The following is a 17,180-nucleotide window of genomic DNA, read 5'->3' on the forward strand; positions in this document are numbered from 1 at the left end:
CGCTTGGAGCCCTGCTTTTGAACTGGTACTGCCAGGGGGAGATCGATGCTCACAGGCTGCCCCGAGGCAGCAGGTGGGCGGGCTGTGGCCTACAGCCCCTCTGCTCCCCGGGGCCGTGCCAGGCCAGGCCTGAGGATGCCGGCTGTCAACAGTCACCATGGTGACCTCATAGCCAGCAGCTGCTCTCCCCACTGCGGTGAAGGTGTCTGAATGGCTTCTGAGGCGGGTCCAAGGGCGGTGGGCAGTCCCAGATAAGGCCCGAAGCTGGGGAAGGTCCTGGCCACTTATTTAGCTGAACCCATCACCTCTCCTAGGGCTCCCAGCAGAAGTCGGGGCTCGCTTCAGGGGAGGTTTTGCCAGAATAGTCTGAGAAATGTCTCCTGGCATTTATGCTCCTCTGCTGACGTCCCCTTGCCCTGGGAAAGTCTGTGATGCCTGGAAAAGAGACCACAGTGGGAGACCATTTTTCCAAGGGAAAACTGATTTATGTGAATCCCAGGTTCAGGGCAAGACTCTATCCCATCAGCCTGATGTTTTGTTCATTTTTGAGCTGTCAATAGGAAATCTGGACACTCCAGACCTGAATCTAGAAGCGGCTTCTGCTCTTTGTCCCAAAAACCTGCAGCTCCTTGAGCAGCCCCTTTTCCCTAACACCCCTGGCACCCAGCCCTGCACACCCAGCCCCTCCACCACAAGCTCCACGGCCGGCACCCCCTGCCTGGCACCTGGCGCCTGGCACACACACAGCAGGGCCGGGCCAGTGCCCGCGGGAGCCTAACAGCTGGCAGGCCACCTCTCAGCCCGGCTGGGCTTCAGGGGAGAGGGGAGGCCGGTCTGGGGAGGGGAGTCTCAATGGAGACTCCAGCAAGACATCTGCTGCCCTGGCCACGAGATCTGAAGGGCGGATGCAAGAAGAGACAGAGCGGGGGTGGCAGGACAGCCCCTACCCTGCAGCTTTGCCAAGCACTGGCTCCCACTCTCAGAGGTGGCCATAGCCTGTCCCTTTTAACGCCTGTCTCCTCTCCCCTCCCCCTGTCAGCTGGCGTCTCAGGAAAGAAGTATCACAAGCAAACTGCCACGGAAAAACAAAGCTGTCTGCTGGCCGCCAGCCAGGCTTGCACTGCCGCCCCTGCAGCCAGTCCAGGCTCCCCCACTGAACCCCACTCCGGGCCTACAGGCCCTTCCCTGACATGTGGACCCCCGGCCCTGGGCAGCCGCTGGGCCCCGGCCAGCTCAGGGGAGGACACCTCCCTGCTTCTCCAGCCTCCTCTGACGCCCCCATCCAATGCTGGGAGGATGGAAAGGTTGAAGCTCTGTAGGCCCAGTGCCCGCCTCGGGGAGGGAGGTACTGATGAGCAAGGGGACTCGCCTTCTCACTAAATTATGAGCCTGGAGCCTCCCGGGCGGCTCCTGTAGAAGCAGCCCTTCCGCCCCATCTGCTTTTCTCTTCTCTGGGCCATTGCTCCTTTCAATCCTATGAGCTAAGGAAATTGGTGTTAGGGTGATGGGCTGTCTCAAGGATCCAACGCTATTTCTGGGAGCCTGGTTAGAAGAAAGAAAGAAAGAAACTGTAAGGCCAGGTGCGGGTGCAGTGGCTCATGCCTGTAATCCCAGCACTTTGGGAGGCTAAGGTGGGAGGATCACTCGAGGCCAGGAGCTAGAGACCAGCCTGGACAACGTAGGGAGACTCTATCTCTATTAAAAAAAAACACACAAAAAAAACAAAAAACACATTAGCCAGATGTGGTGGTGCACACCTGTAGTCCCAGCTCAGGAGGCTGAGGTGGGAGGATCCGTTGAGCCCAAGAGTTCCAGACTGCAGTGAGCAGTGATTGCACCACTGCACTCCAGCCTGGATGGCACAGCAACATCTTGTCTCTAGAATGAAAAGAAAAAAAGAAACTGTCATCACCCCATGATTAGCATAAGGATTTAAAAATAAACTAGCAGTTCTGGCTCTTGGCCTTGCAGAACAGTTTATAAGCTGACTGAGGGGGTCCAAACATTTATGTCACCCATGACTCTCAGGCAATCTGGGATTTTCTTTTCTCCAGGAACGCTGCTGATTGTGTCCAGGATATGAAAGCAGTGATCTTAGGGAAGCTGGGCAGGGGGACAGGCAGCACCAAAAGTGACCTCTAGGCCCAGTAATGGAGGGGACTTTATCCCTGGTGACTAGTGGAGCCGCGTCATGTCTATAAGAACGTACTGCTGGCCTAAGCAGTCCAAGGATGCTCCTTTGGGAAGTCCCCAAGTCAGAGTACAATCACAGGGTGACAAGAGGGTCATTGGCCCTGACTTACATCCTCCCCACTGTCAGCAGCATGGGCTGTCTTCCTGCGGTTTGTACTCACTGTCTGCCCACTTGCTTCCCGTTTCTGGTTTTTTGCAGATTAGGCTTTAACCTTCCTTCCCACCCTTCCTGAGATCTAGAGACTCACCAGGAGAACTCCTAGGCAGTTGAGCTTGTCTTATAGGTGGTCACCGATCAGCCTTCCCTCAGGGCGGCAGCCTCTCTCCCTCGCATCTTCTCCCACTGGTCATCAGCCACTTGCAGCATTCAGGCCCCTGAGAACTGCCAGCCCTGGCTGCAAATTCTGTGAATCTCACAGAGCTTCCACCTGCATGGCTCGGGCTCCAAGGAACACAGAGAATGCGGACCCGGACAGGTGCTGTGCGTCACAAGAGCTAGTGCATGCTCGTGCATGCTCATGTGTGCTCATGCATGTTTGTGCACGCACACACACACACACACACACACACACACACAGAGGTGTGACCTAGCTAGGTGCAACCATTAATCTCCAGCCCCACTCTTTCCTTAGACCTCGACTCCCTCCTCTCCTCCCTGTCTCCTGGCCCCTTTATTGGGCCATTATTGAAGGCCTCAATGTATATCTCTCCACTTCTTGCCTTTCTACACCATCATGTCATCATCCATTTATTTGACTGTCTCCCCCTCAGGTTCCAGGAAGTGGCAGCAGAGCTATATCTTGTTTGGGGGCTAGGATAGTGAGCACTTGTTAAGTGTGTGTGGAGTGAATGGGATCCTCCAGATCTTCTGCTAATTATCAGCTCAGCCATCAGCCTCTGGGGCTCCAGGGGCGCAGCCAGACATGACTAGCCTGGTCCCCTTGGCTCTTCCATCTTCTCACCCTCTGCATCAAAGCAAATGGAACATGTATTTTTAATGACTTAGGCAAGCCCCATGCTTTTAATAGGGAGAAAAAGGAGAAACACTTAGCTAAATACACAAAATGGGCTTTAGTCTCCTAGGAGTTCCATTTCAGGATAGAATGCGAGAGATAATTTTTTTAAAAAGCAATGGAATCTCTTTGCCTCACCCCTTGTCACTCCCTCGGCAGCTCTCACTTGGACCTCTTAGCCCTCCTGGGACACTGCACCCCCAGTTGCTGGAAGCCAAGGAAAAGCACATCTTATGTGTAGCAGGTGCTCAGTGTGGCCACGGAAAGAACACCATTCTGGGGGTCATGAAACCTGGTGCCAACCATGGTGTTCTCAGATGTGCTGCTCACTTCTTTACACTCTTGTTTTTCCACAAAATAACACTAGATCCCTCCCCTGCCCTGCTGGCCTGTCTTATAGGATGGTTGTAAAGAATAAGTAAAGTAAGAACTAGGAAAGGGCTTTGGAAAATCGCATTCCATCTCCCAAGTGCGGTGGTGGTGGTGATTCCTCAGAGGCTGGTGCAGAGCGGAGAGGCCAGGCCGGCCTGGGAAAAGCGTGGAGCAGAAGGAGCAGGTGTGACATTGTCCCACCTCTCCCTTCAGCCTCACGTCCCTTCCCCTTCTCCACTCTGCCCTGTGTGCCCCTGCTAGGAGCTGCATTGGGTCCCCCCAAAATTCATGTGTTGAAGTCCTGACCTCTAGGACCTCAGGATGTGACTGTGTTGGGAGACAGAGCCATTAAAGAGGTAAGGAAGGTTAAATGAGGTCACCAGGGTGGCCCTAATGCAATAAGACTGGTATCCTTAGAAGAACAGATTAAGGGACAGACACACAGAGATGGAAGACCACATGAAAACATCAGATGAAGACAGCCATCTACGAGCCACGGAGAGAGGCCTCGGGAGAAACTAACCCTGCCTGCCTTGATCTTGGACTTCCAGCCTCTAGAACTGTGAGGACACACATTTCTGTCTGTGGGGCTTTGCTATACAGGCCCTCCCATTCTTTCTACTCCTCCTTTGGCCCAATCGGGTGTTGCAGGCCTTCAAGGTGCCACTTCCCTAGCCCCTGAGAAGCAAATTCCCAATGCCTGCTTCACAGCGCTCTCACGCCTGACAGGGCAGAGCATGGCAGCTGAGGACGCTTTCACTCAAAGATGTCCCCTTTGAGGGGTGATTTCTACCACGCTACTAAGACACTCAGGAGAGCAGAGCATCCTCCCTGTCCATGTGGAACCTGCGCTATTGGAGAGTCCCAAAAGCACATCCTTACAGCTGACGGTATCACCTGGGAGATTGATAACAATGCTAACTCCTAGCCAGGTGCAGTGGATCTCGCCTGTAGTCCCAGCGCTTTGGGAGGCCCAGGCAGGAGGATCGCCTGAGGCCAGTTTCAGACCAGCCTGAGAAACATAGTGAGATTTCATCTCTACAAAAACTAAAAACACATTAGCTTGGCATGGTAGCCAGTGTCTGTAGTCCTAGCTACTTGGAAGGCGGAGGCAGAAAGATCACTTCAGCCCAGAAGTTCAAGGCTGCAGTGAACCATGATTATGCACTGCACTCTAGCCTGGGTGACAGAGAAAGACACTGTCTCTAAAACAACAACAAAAATACTGACTCCTGAGCACACCCTTAGAGATTCTAAACCAATAGGCATGAGGTGGTCTGAGAATCTGTGCTTGGATCCCCTGGGGACATGGGGCACAGCTGGGTTTCAGAATCACTGACCAGCTTGCCACTGTGTGAGGACATCCCTACTTAACTCACAAGCACCCACCAAGTCTATGCAGAAAACCTCTGAGAGAATCTCCTTTGTGAAGTCTGATAGGCCCTGGCCTCCTGGTTCCTCTTTTTTTTTTTTTTTTTTTTTTTTTGAGACAGAGTCTTGCTCTGTTGCCCAGGCTGGAATGCAGTGGTGCAATCTTAGCTCATTGCAAACTCCGCCTCCTGGGTTCAAGCGATTCTCCTGCTTTAGCCTCCCAAATAGCTGGGATTACAGACATCCGCCACCACGCCCAGCTAATTTTTGTATTTTTAGTAGAGACGGGGTTTCGCCATGTTGGCCAGGCTGGTCTGGGATTACAGGCTTGAGCCAGCCCTGGTTCCTCCATTTAATGGAGTCCAGTAAAAAAATGATGTTTGCTCAGAGTCACGAATCACAGAATATTGGAGCCAGAAGGCACTTTAGGGGTCATGGAATTCAAGCCCCTCTGTTTACCTGTATGGAGACCACAGGGGTGAGACATGGGATAACCTTGCCCAGACCCTTAATCAGCCAGCGCTGGAGCCTGGGCCCAGGTTTCCAGATTTCCTGTTTCATTCTTGCTTTCTCAAGAGCCCTATTAAACCCCATTCCTGTTCCCGAATATGACCCTGACAGCAAAGAAAATAAGAGTGTGTCAGGGCTGACTGTGCATCTGCATGCCAAGCCTCACTGTGCATTATCTCACTGAATCCTCACAGTCACCCGGTCACATTTGACTGCATGTTTCACATTTTATAGGAGAGAGACCTGCTCGAAATCACACAGACAGTAAAGGCAGAGTCTGGACTCCCCCCAGGTCTGTCTCTCTCAAGGTCCCAGCAGCCCCTAATCTGGAAATGAGAAGCCTGGGCTTTTCAAACTGCTGTGGAGAGCTGGAAGAGCACCAGGGACTCTCCTGCTGGGCTGGCATCCCGGGAATTTGTGCCGTTTGCTTTGTGGCCTGGTCAGGTGTCCTTCCTGCCCCACCCCATGGGCTTCTGGCCTCGCTGTCTCTCTGAGCCGGGCCAGCAGGAGAGGGTCTGGCTCTGCCAATGGCCCCTTGGGTCTCTCCTGGCAGCTCTCAGATGACACTCCTGCTGGGTGCCAGGGACTGGGGCAGACCTAGCAGAGGAGTGGACAGCTCCTGCCCTGGTTCTGTGACTTTCTCTCTGCCTCTTGTTACTTAAGACTGGGCCATTTCATCCCAGCTGTCCGTTTTAAACACTGCCATCTCTGGCATCTCGTTGTGTTCCTGGACCTACATGAAGGCATCCTGTGAGCGTCCCCAGTGCGTGATGGAGGGGTGGAGATGAGAGATGCTGGGGGCGGTCTCCCATACCCACAGCTTCCAGGACGTCTACTATTAGCTCCTGGATCGCTGCCCTCATCACCAGCGCAGCCTCCTTAATCTCACCTTCCACAACCCTCCTGCTCCCCGCCTCCTGTCCTATCAGAAGATTCTAGCTCTTTCCCATGACATGAACTAAATTGTGGGGCTTCCTGCATTCATTCATTTGTTCAACAAATATTTATTAAGTTCATGATGTGTCCCAGGCACTGTTCTAGGTACCGGGATGGAAGAAACCAACCAAACCACACAGACAAAAACCCCTGCTCTCATGGGGCTCGCATTCTAGCGGGGGAAATAGAAGGTGAATGAGATAAGTAATTAAGTGTAAGTTAGGGGTCACACCAGGGGGAAAAAGAAAACAGAAGGGAGATAGGAGGTGTCAGGGGTGGTTGAAATTTCCAATAAAGAGGCCAGGGAATGCCTTACTGAAGTTATTTTTTGTTTTTAAATTTTAAAGCCAGTCTAATTAGCAGCGGGGGAGTGTATACCAACTTTAGTGACAGTAATGTTAATAAGTTCTGATAACACACTGCCATGGGCCCAGCCTGTGCCTGAGTGAAGACAAGAAGCATTGAGGGCAGAAAGATCACCAAGTGCAAGGGCCCTGGGGCAAGAGCAGAATGAAGCAGAGCCAAGGAGTGAGGTCAGGCAGGTGTGGGAGGGAGCAGGAGGCAGTTCATGCAGTGGGGCGGGGTCGGGGGTAGTGGGGAATCCTGGAGGGTTTGGCAGAGGAACGCAAAGGTCTGACAGCCCAGAAGGAAGGAGGGCAAGGGTGGAAGTGGGCAGAGCCACCAGGAGACTGCAGTCACCCTAGGTAGGTTTGGTGGTCGCCGGCTACATCCATGGAGGTGATAAAAGGTGGCTGAAGATATATCTTGAGGGTAGCATCAACATAAACTGTGGACTGACTGGAAGAATGGAACTTTTTGTTCCACTGCCAGCCCACCCCGTCTCTCCCACTCACTCGTAAACACACATCGGCCCCCAGCTGCCCACACTTCCTACCCTCCCGGCAGACCCTAATTATCCAGAATTTTTTGACTCCTTCCCAATTCCCAAACCTTCCCTGTCCTGTCCCAGGAAGTCAAATCCAACTCAGACACTTAATAGCAGATGACCTCGGGGGAATTATTTTCCCCCTTCTGACCCTGTTGGGGGCTTGGGTTTCATCCTGCCTGCGTTCAGGCTTCTCTGGCCTCGCAAGGGGTCGAACCAAGAACTGCTGGGTTGCAGCTCAGAATCACCTGGTTTGAATCCCACGCTACCACTCATGAGCCTTGGGAAAGTTACTTAACCTCTCTGAGCCTCCAGTTCCTCTTCTGCGAACTGGAGTGGTATTAATACCCACCGTGTGGAGCTGCTGTGAGAGAAAATAAAACCGCACATGCAATGCGGTTAGCCTCCAGTCCACTCTCTGGTAATGCTCCGATGCTGAATTATCAAATGCTGCCGTATCTTTAAAATAAACGGAATGCAGGTTAGCATGCCTTTCCACCCCTACTCTGTAAACAAAATTAGGATGAGAATGAAAAACACCCCATCCTCTTTTTTGCCAAAAAAAAAAAAAAGCGTTTGTGTCCTCTGACTTTGCTCAGGGTTCTCAGCCTTCTTGCAGAGAACACTGACTTTGTAGGTAATTAGTGCATTCTCACAAAAAGGGGGATGTCCCAGGGACACCATCTTGTAACCCCCTAGGATTTGGCTTAAGAATTTGCCTCTGGGGGTCTGCAACAAACTGTGCAAATGTATGTAGCCTCTGAGGGGAGCAGATCTTCCTCCTCCCTGCTAAGGAGCTCCGGTGGTCTCCGGCCTCGGGGGGCCTGGCTTTCCCTTCACCACAGGCAGCTCACACCTTCTAGAAGCAGGTGAGGATGGGTACTGCTCCCCCTTGGCCTGCCTGGGTATTCACAAGTCTGTGAGCCAAGAGGCTGTCTCAGGGCTGTCTGGGCAGGTGCCAGGGGATGAGAGAGACAATAAAACATGAGTGCCGGGGCCATTTTCTTTTCTGAAAAGATCTTTATTTCCACACTAATTGCAATTTCTGGTCGGCTTCAGTTCAGACTCAGCCTTGCGCGCCTGGAAGTCATTCCTGGCGGGCTTCCTCCACCTTCTTTTTCTTGGCCAGACGTGGCCAGTCATAAACTGACAGGGAAAAACAGCTCTCCAAATGATTTTGGTGTCTTGTCTAGGGTTATTATTGAGCTTGGGACAAATCCCAAACCGGCCTCTGCTGCTGCAGATGCCGACCTGAACTAGCTCCTCTCCACTTTAACTTCACCTTCATCCTGGTTTGCTGATTACAGATGAATTCATTTTTCATCGGACTCTCCAGGCTGCCCCACAAACGAACACCTACATGAAGGCCAGAGCCAGGCTGGGTTTGTCAGGCAGTCAGGCCCTGTGGGAACTGGAGGCCTCTCCTCCAGGACTGGACTCACCCTCCCATCTGAAAGGCCCTTTATTCTAGGACTTAATGAGGCAAAAGCAGTTAAGTGCATGGCTATGGAACCCACCAGATGTGAATGGAGAATGGGGAATTTGCAGGGTGGAGAAGAGTTCAAGGGATGAAAAGAAGGAATTCTGGACAGACTAAGCATGGATGTGGGAATAACACGCCACGTCACGTCTATTGACAGACGGGTTTCCCTCAAGCTGCACTCCATGCTTCTCATGGCAGAGGCAGGGAGTTTGTGTTTTTAGGACTTTAGCGTGAAACTGAGAATCATCTTGTGTTTCGAGCATAGAGATAACGATGAAAGAACACAAAGAAATGATAAATGCTTGAGGTGATGGATACCCTGTTTACCCTAATGTGATTATTACACATTGTGTGCCTGTATCAAAATATCTCATGTACCCCATAAATAGATACACCTACTACGGACCATAAAAATTAATTTTTAAAAAGAAATACTGATGAAAGCACAGATTTTTTTAAGGATGGGAATGGGAGAAGTTTCAGTGTATGTCAAGGCTCACAAACCTTATCTGAAAGAGACCGCCGAGGCATGTGTGTTCCTGTCCTTCCCTACCCCTTCCTATCCCTGAGCCACACCTCTGGCCTTCCATGAAATTCAAGATTGCAAAATCATTGAATTCCAAACGGGTCCATTTTCTGCTGGGTGCGATTGGTAGTTGGTCTGTATGATGACAGCTAAAGGAAAAAATGCAATTATTCAAAATTATGAGGAAATCCAGGCACTGTGGCTCATGCCCGTAATCCCAGCTACTCTGGTGGCTGAGGCAGGAGAATTGCTTGAGGCCAGAAGTTCAAGACTAGCCTGGCCAACATAGGAGACCCTGTCTCTAAATAAAAATAAATTTAAAAATAAAAAATAAAATAATGAAGGAAAAAATGGTTGGAAAACAAAGGATGCAGACCAACTCACTTCATGCCATGTTCCTTCTTAAGGTGAGAGACAGGTCCTAGATGAGAAGAATTTTATTCACATAAGACTGACCACTACACTATAATAAAAGAGTTAATTTTTATGTTCAGTTTTTTATTCTCTCAGTTGCCAGAGATGGGGGGAAATCACATTAAGTGCTGGCAGCCAGGTTTTGTCATGAGAACAAGGCATCGAAGGGCGAAGTCCGTGAATGATCTTGGGAAATGTGTGTCACCCTGACCTTTAGAGACGACTGCATCCTGATTGGCTGCCTATGCCGCCCTCTCCCCGGGAGTCGGGAGGGTTGTAAATACAGAAGAAATGGAAAGGCAGGTAATCAAACAAGGCCGCCGCAGTACGCGGCGCTGGGAAGGGGAAGGGGGGCGCTTCGGGCTTGAATAGGGTCCTCCGGGTGGGCTGGACCGTAATCCCCAGTGGAGTGCGCAGGCTTGCGGAAGCACGGGAGGGAGTGCGGAGAGCACAGGAGGGCCCACGTGTGCCCCGTGGGCGTCGTCCGAGTCCCCCCGCCCCCCCCGCCCCACACACCGCAGGACAGGTAGGGGCGGGGGTGGGTGTGCTGGGAGGTGTGGTGGGCGTGCTGGGGGATGGGTGTGTTGGGGGAAAGGGGTGTGCTTGGGGGGTGGGCATGCTGGGGGTGAGTGTGCTGCGGGGTTGAGTGTGCTGGGTGGGGGTAGGTGTGCCGGAGGGGTGGGCGTGCTGGGGGGCTGGGCATGCTAGGGGGAAAGGGGTCTGGGCATCCCAGGGGCGGGGGCTCTAGGCGAGGCCCCCAAGGAAGGAAGCCCCTCCCCCGCACCCCTGCTGAGTGCGCGTCCAGGTGGATTTGGGGAGCAGGTGGCGCGGATGTCTCCGCCGCCGTCCAGGTGGGCGACTAAGAGTCCTCACCCAGGAAACGGCGTTTCTGCTCCACGGGAGACCATCCCGAGCGCCGCCTCGGGTCCGGACAGGCCCCGCAGGTCTCGTCCCCCTAGGCCTCTGTAGTGTGACCAGGAGAACGGATTCTCCTCGGGCGATCTCCATCCAGGTCCTGGGGCCGGCAGCCGCGGCAGGGGAACCTCCTGCGCTCGGGAGGAAGCACAGATTCCAGAGGAGCAGTAAAATGGCAAATCATGCCAAGCTTCGGGGTGGAGCTGAGGGGGCCCTGACTCCGCCTCGCAGCCCGGGCTTCGGGGTGGGGCGCCTAATTAGTGTTTGCGCATTGGCGGCCGGCCGGCTCGGTAACCACGGCGACCGCGCGGCCCCGCCCAGCCCCGGCCCAGTATCCCCGCCCCCCGCATTCCCCATTGGCCGCTGGCGCTTCCCAGCCTACCAATCACCGACCGCATCTCCTTACAAAGGGTAGAAAGACACCGCCTGGCAGAAGCCACGCCTCGCACCAGGAAGCCCGGCTGACGGCTTAATTGAGATTAACATAAACTCCAATCAGAGAGGAAAACGCGGACAGGATTACCTAATCGTATATGCTTAAGGGAGTACCACGAGAGCGCGAGCAGCCTCGGCAGGGCAGAACAGGCCCTCGGCAGGTTCTTCATCCTGGGTATCTATCTAGACTCTAGTTCAGGCTCCATCATTACATAATTCTATGCCACTTCCCTTCTAGGGGTATCTGTTTTCTCAATTTAAAGAGAGGGCTCGTCTGTCAGGACCCTACCAACTCCAGATTTCCATGAGCCACAGGGTCTGAGCGACGCCTGCAAGCCAACACTGTTCATTCAGGCCTGAACGGCTAAGCACTGAATGGGAGGTTGATTTGACTTTGCTTTTTTCTTTGCTTCTGTCTACAGAGGGAGAAATAGCTGCCTCATTCCCTCTTGCTGGAGAAAAAAAAAAAAAGCAATAGGTGTTTAATCTGCAAGGGAGATGAATTTCCTATCTAACCCAAGGAGATGTGGGACAGCTCCGGGGTAAAGATTGATAGAACTGTCTGATGTCAGAGCAGCCACAGGCCATAAATAATCCAGTCCAACCCCCTGGCTTTACAGATGAATCAGGCCCAGAGACGCCAGGCGACTTGAGCAAGGCCACTCAGCTGTCAAGAGCCCGGGTAGAAATCAGTGCCCTTTCTGCTACACCATTCTGAACGGCTCCAGCCACCTGCTTGCCTCAAGGATCCCAGTTTGCTCTGTCTTCCCTTTCTCTTCTTCCTTCTCCTCTTACAATGTTCAATAATAATTGGCAATGTACAAATCAGACTCTCAGGACTTCAGAGGCAAGGACCAGGCTGAATTTTTCTGATCCTAGCAAAGGTGGATTCCTTGAAGAAAGCTGCCTTTCAATCTAAAGTTCTGAAGGATTCCAGTGATTTTGCAACCTGCAGGCTTTGGCTTGGAAGGACTTACAGCCGATTTCACAAACTTTCAAAGCCTTAAGGAGCAGTGATGGAGCATTGGTCAGCAGTTTCGTGAATGACGCTACATTCTCTTATTTTCCAAATGACCTAACCCCACAGCACAGAATCTGCTGGATTTGGTGTCTGTAAAGACTTACCAGCCAGGCACAGTGCCTCATTCCTGTAATCCCAGCACTTTGGGAGGCCAAGGAGGGAGGACCACTGGAGGCCTGGAGTTCAAGAGCAGCCTGGGCAAGATAATGAGACCCTATCTCTACAAAAAAATTAAAAACTATCCAAGTGTGGTGGTGCATGCCTGTAGCCCCAGCTACTTCAGAGGCTGAGGCAAGAAGATTACTTGAACCCGGGAGTTTGAGGCTGCAGTGAGCTATAATCACAGCACTGCACTGCAGCCTGGGCCACAGAGTTGAGACCCTATCTATCAGGAAGGAAGGAAGGAAGGAAGGAAAGAAGGAAGGAAGGAAGGAGGGAGGGAGGGAAGGAGGGAGGAAGAAAGGAATGAAGGAAGAGGACTTCCATCCAAGGATAGATTTCCTCATTTTACGAAGTCCACCTCATTCCCTTTACCTCTTTCTTGGGCAACCTCCTCTACCCTAGCATCAAGCATTTATCAGATTCCTATAATTTCATCAAATGCAGGCACTTATCAGGTTTACAAAAAATAGTCTATCTTGGAGAGCTTCCAATGTGATGTTGAGGCAGAGCAACTGTGTTTAAGGGCAACTCAAGACTAGCCCACCTGAAAGGTTCCCACACCCAAACTAACCTGCAGGTACAAATGAAGTCACATCAGTTATGAATACCCAGGTTTTGATGACTCACAGCCCCCACCAACAAAACTGCAGGACCTTGAGGGCCTCCCACCCTGCAGTGGGCTCAGGGGCTCACTCCCTTGTGCTAATAGAGTCTTTCTCTGCAGCTACCTGTGGTCCAGGGCCTGAAAAACCACTTAGAGTCATCACTTCCCCATTGCCTGTAATCCCAGCACCACTTTGGGAGGCCAAGGAGAGAGGATCCTGAGCAGCTGGGGCAACAGGCATGCACTACCACACTTGGATAATTTTTAATGATTTAGTAAAGAGGTGGTCTCGCTATCTTGCCCAGCCTATGAATGCTGCCCTATTGCTTCATTGCACCGCTCCTTAAAGAAAGTTTGTGAAATCAGATCTGAGTCCTTCCGAGTCAAAGCCTGCAGGTTGCAAAATCACTGGAATCCTTCAGAACTTTAGATTGTGGCCATATGAAAGGCAGCTTTCTTCAAGGAGAGGTGGGGTAGCGGAGTAGTCACTTATGCCTTGGTCTGGCTGGGTGAATCTGCATTTTTACACAAACAATAGGGCAGAGGAAGCAATCAGATGTGCATTTGTTTCAGATGAGCCGAGGGATGACTTTGAGTTCTGTCCTTTGTCCTGCACCTGTGAAGATAAGCTATCAATTTACATTGCCAGAGTGAAATTCAACAGAACTGTTTTAGTGTAAAGATCTTGAGGCCCACAAGGAACTTCCTAGTAGGCAAATTGTGAGGGAGATATGAAGATTTTTAAAAATCTTTGTAACTGTCTTATTTAGGAATAGAATGAGAGGCAGGTGTGCCTGATGCAGTTCCCAGCTTGATTTTTCCCTTTGGCTTAGTGATTTGGGGGTCCTGAGATTTATTTGCCTTTCACATTGGCATGAGGAGAAAAAAATCTATTGAATTGTCTTGAGTAGGCATCCCTCTTCTGGACTTTAATTTGTGCAGGAGGGGACACTGGTATTGGTTATCCCACCCAGCCAAGCTTGGGGTATAATTGATTTTTGGTCTTTGGGTTTCTAAATCAGTCTTATGACCTCATTAAAAAATGAATGAGGGCCAGGTGCAGTGGCTCATGCCTGTAATCCTAGCACTTTGGGAGGCCAAGATGGATGGATCGTTTGAGGTCAGGAGTTCAAGACCAGCCTGGCCAACATGGCGAAACCCTGTCTCTACTGAAAAAATATAAAAATTAGCTGGGCATCATGGCACATGCCTGTAATCCCAGCTACTCAGGAGGCTGAGGCAGGAGAATCACTTGAACCCAAGAGGTAGAGGCTACAGTGAGCCCAGATTACGCCGCTGTACTCCAGCCTAGGTGACAGAGCAAGACCTTGCCTCAAAAAGAAAAAACAAAAGACAAAACAAACAAACAAAGAAACAAACTGAATGAGTCCCCCCAGAACCTCTGGGCAGGTGAAAAAAAAAATTAGTTTTTAGACCTACAAACTTATGAATCAGATTCTGACCAAATTCCTGCCTATGAGGTCCTACAAGCAGTAGGTCAGAGTCTTCCCAAACCCCTCTGAGCCATAGCCAGCCATATGCATCAAATGGTTTTCATGTTTGTTGAATGAACACATGGATGAATGAATGAGCAAATGAAAAAACAGATTACTGGCTGGTTGGCTAGTTGAATAGATGAACAGAAGGATGAAAAGAACCATTTGATATAATACTTGTCCCCTGAAAATCTCAAGCTGAAATGTGATCCCCAGTGTTGGCAGTAGGGCCTGGTGGGTGGTGTTTGGGTCATGGGGACAGACTCCTTATGAATGGCTTGGTGGCCTCCCTGTCGTAATGAGTGAGTTCTTGCTCTATTTGTTCACACAAGAGCTGGTTGTTTAAAAATGCCTGGCCAAACATTGTTGGTGGGAGTGTAAATTAGTTCAACCATCGTGGAAGACAGTGTGGTGATTCCTCAAGGATCTAGAACTAGAAATACTATTTGATCCAGCAATCCAATTACTGGGTATATACCCAAAGGATTATAAATCATTCTGCTATAAAGACACATGCACACATATGTTTATTGCAGCACTATTTACAGTAGCAAAGACTTGGAACCAACCCAAATGCCCATCAATAACAGACTGGATAAAGAAAATGTAGCACATATACACCATGGAATACTATGCAGCCATAAAAAAGAATGAGTTCATGTCCTTTGCAGGGACATGGATGAAGCTGGAAGCCATCATTCTCAGCAAACTAACACAGGAACAGAAAACCAAACACTGCATGTTCTCACTCATAAATGGGAGTTGAACAATGAGAACACATGGACACAGGGAGGGGAGTTGTGGCCTGTTGTAGGGTGGGGGGCAAGGGGAGGGAGAGCATTAGGACAAATACCTAATGCATGTGGGCTTAAAACCTAGGTGATGGGTTGATAGGTGCAGCAAACCACCATGGCACATGTATACCTATGTAACAAACCTGCATGTTCCGCACATGTATCCCAGAACTTAAAGTAAATTAAAAAAAAATGCCTGGCAGTGTCTCTTGCTCCCTTTCACACCATGTGGCACACCTGCTCCCCTTCCCCTTCTGCCATGAGTAAAAACTTCCTGAGGCCTCACTAGAGGCCAAGCAGATGCTGGAGCCATGCTTGTACAGTCTGCAGAACTGTGAGCCAAATAAACCTCTTTTCATTGTGAATCACCCAGTCTCGGATATTCCTTTATAGGAACACAAAACGGACTAAAACAATATTATATATATTGAGAGAGAGAGGAGACAGATATCCTAGGGGAGAGGGAGAGGGAGAAGGTGGCTCAAGGGCACCAGTGAAGGAGTTGATCTTGCTGCTTAATCTCCCCCTATGTCTCCTGGGAGACTTTTTCCATCAGCCGTCCAGGCTCTTTCACTGCCTGAACACCTATGTAAATGGCCTGCGTCTCCCCAAGTCCTTTGCTCCTTCAGGGCAGATCCAATCACCCTGTCTTCAGACCCCACAGTCACATTCATCCCTCTCTGAGCCTGCAGGCTTTATACCAAGTTCTCCTCCAGCCTTGGGTAGGGTTAGGAGGACCCAGGCAGGAGGAAGTGGGGTATGGAGCTGCTGAGACCCCCAGTGAGTGTTCCCTGTGGGGCCAGAGACAAAGGTGGAAGCGAAACACCTGCTGCTCTCACCTCTGGCCCCCGAGACCCCCACCCTGCACAAAGGTGGGGCTGTCAGGTGCCAGGGTGGTGGGGCGGCAGCCCCAGAAGGCCCATGTGACCAAGTCATTTTCCCCTCCCCATCTGCTCCTGGAGAGAGGAATCCCAGGGCAACCTGCGAATACCATCTGTGAAGTTGGCACCTTCAACCACGAGCCCCTCTCAGTGTCTCCTCCTGAACTCCTGGGTCAGATTAGCCGAGCGCCTGGCAGGGCTCTGAGGGACTGGGCCTCCACACAGAGAAAAGGCCTGGGTAGGCAGCAACGTGCTGCTCAGAGGGACTGAGAAAATGAGAACAAAGGGCCACCATTTTGCTGCGAGTCCCTGCTGCTTGGAAACTTTGGCTTTTCTGCTGATTCTGGTGGGAAGCCCCACTCTGCTATCTTAGCAAAAGGCCAAGAGAGCCAGGAACAGAGCTGGCCGCAGGGCCTGCAAGCATTCCACAAGGGCTGGCTTTTGTTCTCACGCAAGGTTTCCAGCCGAAGACAAATGCTTTCCACATGGGCTAAGAGAAGGAGACCTCCTTCCACTCGCTTTTGATCCTCAGACACTGCTGCGTGACAATAGTCAGCATCCCACAGACAGCCTTCCCGAAACAGAGCACCTCAGGGACGTGCCCACCCCCACCTCAGAGTGGGATAACCACCTTTCCCCACTGTGCTGTACCTGACCCCTCAACAACTCAGGATCATGCCCTGAGTCCCCAGGGAGCTCCTCCTTACCACCAGGAAAGGTCTGATGCACAGACGACCGCCCTGATGCATAGACTGCTGTTGGTGGACATCCACAGTCTGTGGTCATACCAGATCCCTGCCCAAAACTACCTTCCCCAGAGCCCTGGGGTCCCTCACTGCTCCCAGATAGACCAGAGTCCTCCCCCTGTAACTAGCAGCTGAAATTACATGAAAACAAAGCCAACAGCTAGGGGAAAACACTGTCACCGCTGCTGGTGGCCATGTCCATTATTATAGTCTCTCTGCAGGAAATTTGTAAACTAACTAAATAAATAAAAATAAAATATTCCCTTACAATGAGCATACTCTTGGATTAAGCATGCTCACTTCTAGGAAGCTGTCCCCAGAAAATCAGCAGTAATGCAGCAAATAACTTCTACATAAGATGCTCCCTACATCATTTGAAAAAGTTAAAAAATTGGAAACAACCTCAGTGCCTACTAATTGGG

General features: G+C 51.1%; 5 annotated features.

Annotated features, from left to right (window-relative positions):
- Positions 10,121-11,017: an enhancer, noted in NCBI's record as "H3K27ac hESC enhancer chr10:32048354-32049250 (GRCh37/hg19 assembly coordinates)". NCBI's record gives its function as "activates a minimal SCP1, AML or CMV promoter by ChIP-STARR-seq in naive H9 embryonic stem cells {active_cell/tissue: H9 hESC(naive)}" and the evidence as "EXISTENCE:reporter gene assay evidence [ECO:0000049][PMID:30033119]".
- Positions 10,121-11,045: a biological region, named in NCBI's record as "H3K27ac hESC enhancer GRCh37_chr10:32048354-32049250".
- Positions 10,766-11,045: a silencer, noted in NCBI's record as "silent region_2279". NCBI's record gives its function as "represses an Ori minimal core promoter by ATAC-STARR-seq in GM12878 lymphoblastoid cells {active_cell/tissue: GM12878}" and the evidence as "EXISTENCE:reporter gene assay evidence [ECO:0000049][PMID:35858748]".
- Positions 11,126-11,215: an enhancer, noted in NCBI's record as "active region_3243". NCBI's record gives its function as "activates an Ori minimal core promoter by ATAC-STARR-seq in GM12878 lymphoblastoid cells {active_cell/tissue: GM12878}" and the evidence as "EXISTENCE:reporter gene assay evidence [ECO:0000049][PMID:35858748]".
- Positions 16,245-16,882: an enhancer, noted in NCBI's record as "H3K27ac-H3K4me1 hESC enhancer chr10:32054478-32055115 (GRCh37/hg19 assembly coordinates)". NCBI's record gives its function as "activates a minimal SCP1, AML or CMV promoter by ChIP-STARR-seq in naive H9 embryonic stem cells {active_cell/tissue: H9 hESC(naive)}" and the evidence as "EXISTENCE:reporter gene assay evidence [ECO:0000049][PMID:30033119]".

The sequence above is a fragment of the Homo sapiens genome, chromosome 10 (genome assembly GCF_000001405.40).
Source record: "Homo sapiens chromosome 10, GRCh38.p14 Primary Assembly".
In the NCBI taxonomy this organism is placed as follows: domain Eukaryota; kingdom Metazoa; phylum Chordata; class Mammalia; order Primates; family Hominidae; genus Homo; species Homo sapiens.